Below are 6,884 nucleotides of genomic sequence, written 5' to 3'. Positions count from 1 at the left end.
CCCAGGTAGCTAGGATTACAGGTGCCCACCACCACACCCAACTAATTTTTGTATTTTTAGTAGAGACGGGGTTTCGCCATTTTGGTCAGCTGGTCTTGAACTCCTGACCTCAGGCAATCCACTCGCCTCGGCCTCCCATAGTGCTGGGATTACAGGCGTGAGTCACCACGCCTGGCCAAGACTCTTAAGTAGCTGACTCTGGGATCACTATAATGGGAAGATTTATTCAGTGTAGAAGGTGGGGTGGGAGGCATAGGGGGCAAGAGTGAGAGGGGCTGTGGGCGGACAGGGGGCAGGCGTGGGTGGGCAGAGCGGAGTGACTCTGAGTGGAGTCCTCATTCTGCCCCGTCCTTGCTCTGACTGTGGGCAGTGCTGGGTCTCCGGGACTGGGTCTTCCTATCTGGGAAATGGGATGTTGGCCTTAAAGGGGCACATCTTGTTCAGATACTGTCCTGAAATCCCCTATTGGGTGTTCTTAGCCCTCAGGCGCTAAGATGAGGGTGAGTGGGGTTTTCTGTTTTCTTGGTGTTTGGGTTTTTTTTCGTTTTTTGTTTGTTTGTTTTTGAGGTGGAGACTTGCTCTGTTGCCAAAGCTAGAGTGCAGTGGCGCGATCTCAGCTCATGGCAAGCTCCACCTCCAGGTTCAAGCTATTCTTCTGCCTCAGCCTCCCAAGTAGCTGGGATTACTGGCACCCGCCATAACGCCTGGCTAATTTTTGTATTTTTAGTAGAGACAGGGTTTCACCATGTTTACCAGGCTGGTCTTGAACTCCTGACCTCATGATCTGCCCGCCTCGGCCTCCCACAGTGCTGGGATTACAGGCGTGAGCCCTCAAGCCCAGCCCCAAGATGAGAGTAAGTTTGAAGGATGGAGCTGCTGAATGAGAAAATCAGGATAGGTGTTCCTCCTGTAATTGATCGAATGTTGGGGAGATGTCCAAAATTTCCTTCCCCCACTAAGAGCTAACTACATACCATGTAGCCCTGCCTGATCCAGCTTCAGGTCCTAGAGCACGTTGGAGGGCCCTGGAGCTGCCAGCAAGCTGAGATGTACAGATTCTCCTTCTTCTCTACTGGGGTGGCTCCACCTGGTCCACCCCACAGACGAGCCAGGGGCAAGGCCAGGGCCCCCTGGAGTAGGTGGGAGGCAACAGGGTAGGTGCCCAGCTAGGTCTGGGGAGAAGAGGGAGGGGGAAAATCAAAAACAGAGAGGTGCCGAAACTTGCTCCAGCCACACAATGAAGTAATTAAACATTAGCATGGGTGAAAATGAATCCTGGCACGTAGTAGGTGCTCATTAAATATTTAGGGAAGAAAGGGACTTTTCTAGCCATGAGCTATAAGAAGTGGACACTCAAGATGTGATCCTTGGATCAGCAGCATCTTGGAAATGCAGAATCTCAGATTCTAACCCAGACCCCTTAAAGGTGATAGCCACAAAGTCTTTGTCACTGTCTTCAGCAAGAGGGAGAGCTTAATTTCTTTCCCCTTGAATCTGGACTGGCCTGGGATTGAGAACAGAAGTGGCATGTCACCACCTCCACCACACACTATTGGTTGCTTAACCTATAGTGCCTGGGTGACAGTGAGACCTCATCTCTGCAAAAAAAATACAAAAATACAAAAAAATTAGCCAGGTGTGGTGGCACATGCCTGTGGTCCCAGCTACTTGGGAGGCTGAGGTCCCAAGCTACTCAAGTTGCTTAACCAATAGTGCATGGTGATGGTGACATGCCACTTCTCTTATGGGAAATTAACAGAATGAGACAAGCTAGACAGCGACTGAGGGGGCTGTTCTGGACTCAGTGATCAGGCAGGAATGTCCCAAGAGGAGACCTTTGAGCAGGAACCTGAATGACATAAAGGAGGGGGCTCTGCATAAGGGCCACTGTATAAAGACCCAGCACCAGGTGGGACACACATGTTCATTCTCACTTCCATCCTCAAATGCACTGAGATAATCAGAGCTAGAGGGGTGCCTGCAACCAAGAGATGCAGGAGAAGCAGGGTGCACTGGAGACCCATGTGGTGACCGATGAAATCTCACCCAACGCTCACACCAGAAGCCAGTGTTGAAGTTTCATTTAACACTCTCAAGAACTCAAAACCCAGCCAGGCACAGTGGCTCATGCTTGCAGTCCCAACACTTCGAGAGGCCAAGACAGGTGGATCGTTTCACCCCAGGAGTTCGAGACCAGCAACACAGCGAGACCCTATCTCTGAAAAAGTAAATTTAAAAAAAAAAAAAAATATATATATATATATATATACATATATAAATACAAAGAATTAGCCAGGTGTTGTGGCACATGCCTGTGGTCACAGCTACTTGGGAGGCTGGGGTGGGAGGATCGCTTGAACTCAGGAGGTTGAGGTTGCAATGAGCTAGGATTGCACCTCTGCATTCCAGCCTGGTGACAGAGTGAAACCCTATCTCAAAAAAATAAATAAATAAATAAAAATTAAAAAGATGATGAAGAAGAAGAATTGCAAACCCAACAAGCCCCTTAGTCCATATTGAGGGCAGGACCAGCAGGTATAGCTATAACTGCCACATTTGCAGCCCGGGTGACAGAAGACCAGATGAACTGGATTGGGAGACAGAAATCCTAGAAGGGAACTTTGGAAAAGTTCAGAGGTCACACAAGAGCTAGGAACCACCACCAGAGCATGTTACTCGATGTTACTCAGTGATTTCCTCTCTTCTTTTTCTTTTTAATAAACTTTATTTTTTTAATGTATTATATATTTTGGCCAGGTGCAGTGGCTCACGCCTGCAATCCCAGCACATTGAGAGTCCAAGGCAGGTGGATCACTTGAGGTCAGGAGTTTGAGACCACCCTGGCCAACATGGCGAAACCCTGTCTCTACTAAAAACACAACAAACATTAGCCAGGTGTGGTGGCATGCACCTGCAATCCTGGCTATCCAGGAGGCTGAAGCACAAGAATCACTTGAACCCAGGAGGCAAAGATTGCAGTGAGGTGAGATCGCATCACTGCACTCCAGCCTGGATAACAGAGCAATACCCTGTCTCAAAAAAAAAAAAAAAAAGAAAGAAGAAAGAAAATAAAAGAAAAAATAAAATGGTCAGGGCATTGTGGCTCATGCCCGTAATCCCAGCACTTTGAGAGGCCGAGGCAGGAAGTCGGTACCAGCAAATAGGAAGCACCAAATTGCCAGCCATGAGAGTGAGCCACCTCAAAGTATCTCTTCCAGCCTCAAATGAGCTGCCCACACTGATGCTGTGTAGGACTGAGAAAGCCATCCTGGCTGAGCCCTGCCCAAATTGTAAACTTGTGAGCAAACTAAAAGTTGTATATATTCTGATACAGATAGGAGTTCATACACACATACCAAAAAAAAAAAAAAAACTTGTATATCTTTTTTATTTTTTTGAGATGGAGTTTCGCTCTTGTTTCCCAGACTGGAGTGCAATGGCATGATCTTGGCTCACAGCAACCTCTGCCTCCCTAGTTCAAGCGATTCTCCTGCCTCAGCCTCCCAAGTAGCTGGGATTACAGGCTCACACCACCGCGCCCGGCTAACTTTGTATTTTTAGTAGAGACAGGGTTTCTCCGTGTTGGTCAGGCTGGTCTCGAACTCCCGACCTCAGGTGATCCGCCAGCCTCGGCCTCCCAAAGTGCTGGGATTACAGGCATGAGCCACCGAGCTTGGCCTGTATATTGTTTTAACCTACTAAGTTTCCTGGTAGTTCAATATACAATAATAGATAATTGAAACAGATATATTTCCCAACAAGTTTGGAGTCATCAAAAAACTGATAATGGACTGGGTGCAGTGACTCAGGCCTGTAATCACAACAGTTCGGGGGGCCAACATAGGCGGATCACTTGAATCCAGGAGTTCCAGTTCAGCCTGGGCAACATGGTAAAACCCCATCTCTACAGAAAATACAAAAAAAAGCATCTGGATGTGGTGGTGGGAGGATTGCTTGACCCCAGGAGACAGAGGTTGCAATGAGTTGAGATTGAGCCACTGCACTCCAGCCTAGGCAACAGAGCAATACCCTGTATCAAAAAAAGAAAAAAAAAAAAAGGCCGGGTGCAGTGGCTCACCCCTGTAATCCCAGCACTGGGAGGCCAAGGTGGGTGGATCATTTGAGGTCAGGAGTTCAAGACCAGCCTGGCCAGCATGGTGAAACCTCATATCTACTAAAAATAACAAAAAAAAAATTAGCCAGGCATGGTGGTGTGCCTGTAATCCCAGCTACTCAGGAAGCTGAGGCAGTAGAATCACTTGAACCCAGGAGGCAGAGGTTGCAGTGAGCCGAGATCATGCCACTGCACTCCAGCCTGGGTGACAGAGTGAGACCCTGTCTCCAAAAAAAAAATTTTTTTAATAAACAAAAAAAACCCGGTAACGTGTGCATAAATGCTTTTATATACATTGGAAAACGTTCATATATATATGAACGTTTTTTAATTTTTAAAAACTGAAAAAAGAGCACACCAAACTGCTGGGCCAGAGGTAGAAGCAGAAGCAGAAAGCGGAAGAATTTCCCTTTCAAATTTTACACTTATAACTTATTCCCTGCTCCTTCCATGTCCTTGAGGAGGGAGGAGGCTGTCAGGAGAGGAGTGAGCACCCAGCTTGTGGTCAGACAGCCCATAGTCAAAGCCAGGCTCTGCCACTCCCTCACTGCCGTGTGACCTTGGGCAAGTGATTTGCCCTCTCTGAGCCTCACATTCATCGTTGGTAAAAAAAATAAATAAAAGCGCACACTGACAGGCTTCTGGGGATTGGAGGAACCAGCACACATGTGTGTCTTAATTTGGGTTCCCTGGAACTAGACCTTAATACAAGGAGTTGAGTGCAAATCCTCTATCAGGAGGGTGACCATAAGACAAGAGTTCAACTGCCTGTTGTTTCTTTGGGAGGTGATCCCTGGAAACACAATTAGGGCAATGGAGAAGAGGGATGGGGAAGGGAAGGCAGCAGCAGTTAAAGGGACCTTTATTGAGGAAGTTTCCACTGTGGGTAGCTAGGGCTCAGCCCTGCCTAGTACCTCAGGGAGACAGAATAGAACATGCACCTCCCAGAACAAGGGAGTCTTCACCCCCAGAGAGAGGGAGCTGGGGTATTTATCCACCAATACCCACCAGTCATTACTGACAGCTTCCTCCAAGGGCATGATTTCTCCAGAATGTCCTGCCTGCACCGCACAGGTCAGACCTGGGGACAGAGGCAAGGGCTCTGACAGTGGCTCCAGCCATGAGCAGGAACACAGCCTGGTGTGTGTGGATAGTTACAGTGACTCAGTGAGTGGAGTTCTCCTCTCCTCTCCTTCCAACACACCCATCCATATGCGCACACACAGTCACACCGACACATACACGTTTACACACACTCGTGTGCACACTACAACACATGCACACACTGTTACCCAAATGCACCCAAACACATACGCGGTCACACATGCACGCTCAAACGTGCACGGACACAAAATTGAACGAATAGAGAATGGATCTCCAAATTGTCCAGCAGAGGGAGCGTTCTTCACACTCAGGAGGAAGGAGGTCCCACAGCCGCCAGCGACAGGACCAGACTTCGGTGTTTTGAGAATTACACTTGCAGTACGTGTAACAGGGCTCCGGGGACCCAGGGACCTTACTCCTCCCCTTCTCATTCTCATTTATTCACCCTCGTGGCCCTTGGCGGAAACTCAGTGTGCATTACAAGCATGATGATACCGGACTATTCGCATGACAAGAAAAAGCCGAGGTGCAGAGAGGGACAGTCACGTGCCCAAGGCCGCCCCTAGGAAGGAAGAGCCTAGATTGAGCCCACATATGTCGGATCTCAAGGCTAACTTCGTTTGCTAGTGGATGGCGAGGTTGCGCCGAAAAGGGCCCAGGAGATGTTTGGCAAAGGATGCGCTCTTGGAGACCCTCGGTTGGGAGGGGGGTGTAGGAGAGGCAGCACCTGCAAGATCCGGGTGGCTCACGTAGGGTCTGGGACTGTCTGTTTCCCATTCAGCCCCGGAGTACGTCGAACAGGGGATCCCGGCCGACGACCCCAGCACAGGCCACCGGGGGGCGCCCCAGGACACACGCCGCTGCTACTGCCTCTCGCACAGCCAGCCCCGCTTTAGCTCATCTCCTCCCCGCTCCAACTCTAGCCCAACCCCCGTCGACGCCCCCTTCTACGCTACGTGGCTAGGGATCTAGACCAGGACTGGGAGCCTGAGGGGTGGGGCAGAAGAGGACTCAGCGCCAGCGCTGAGGCCGCACCGAATGATCTTGGGTAAGTCACTTCATTCGGGGGCTCAGTTTCTACCTCTGTTAAACGGAATAATAAAAAGTGATCTTACAAGTCAGTATGAGGATTAAATGGGAATATATGGAAAGAGCACACAGGAAGCACTCAATCAAAAAAAAAAGTTTTGTTTTTGTTTTTCAGACCGAGTCTCGCTCTGTCACCCAGGCTGGAGTGCAGCGGCACTATCTTGGCTCACTGCAACCTCCGTCTCCCGGGTTCAAGCGATTCTCCTGTCTCGCCCTACCGAGTAGCTGGGACTACAGGCGCGTGCCACCACTCCCGTCTGATTTTTTTTTTATTTTTAGTAGAGACAGTGTTTCACCGTGTTAGCCAGGATGATCTCAATCTCCTGACCTCGTGATCCGCCCGCCTCGGCCTCCCAAAGTGCTGGGATTACAGGAGTCAGCCACCGCGCCCTGCCCTAATTTTTTGTATTTTAAGTAGAGATGGAGTTTCACCATGTTGGCCAGGCTGGTCTGGAACTCCTCGCCTCAACTGATCCGCCCACCCCGGCGTCCCAAAGTGCTGGGATTACAGGTGTGAGCTACCACGCCTGGCCTCATAATTGTTAGGTTAACTTTGGAGACCACCCCCAGGGCTCCC

The 6,884-nt window shown here is 49.6% G+C and overlaps 2 annotated features.

The window, feature by feature from the left end:
- Positions 5,606-5,745: an enhancer, noted in NCBI's record as "active region_14191". NCBI's record gives its function as "activates an Ori minimal core promoter by ATAC-STARR-seq in GM12878 lymphoblastoid cells {active_cell/tissue: GM12878}" and the evidence as "EXISTENCE:reporter gene assay evidence [ECO:0000049][PMID:35858748]".
- Positions 6,206-6,265: a silencer, noted in NCBI's record as "silent region_10284". NCBI's record gives its function as "represses an Ori minimal core promoter by ATAC-STARR-seq in GM12878 lymphoblastoid cells {active_cell/tissue: GM12878}" and the evidence as "EXISTENCE:reporter gene assay evidence [ECO:0000049][PMID:35858748]".

This window comes from Homo sapiens, chromosome 19, assembly GCF_000001405.40.
Source record: "Homo sapiens chromosome 19, GRCh38.p14 Primary Assembly".
NCBI lineage: Eukaryota > Metazoa > Chordata > Mammalia > Primates > Hominidae > Homo > Homo sapiens.
This window is presented reverse-complemented; position numbering and strand designations above follow the sequence as displayed.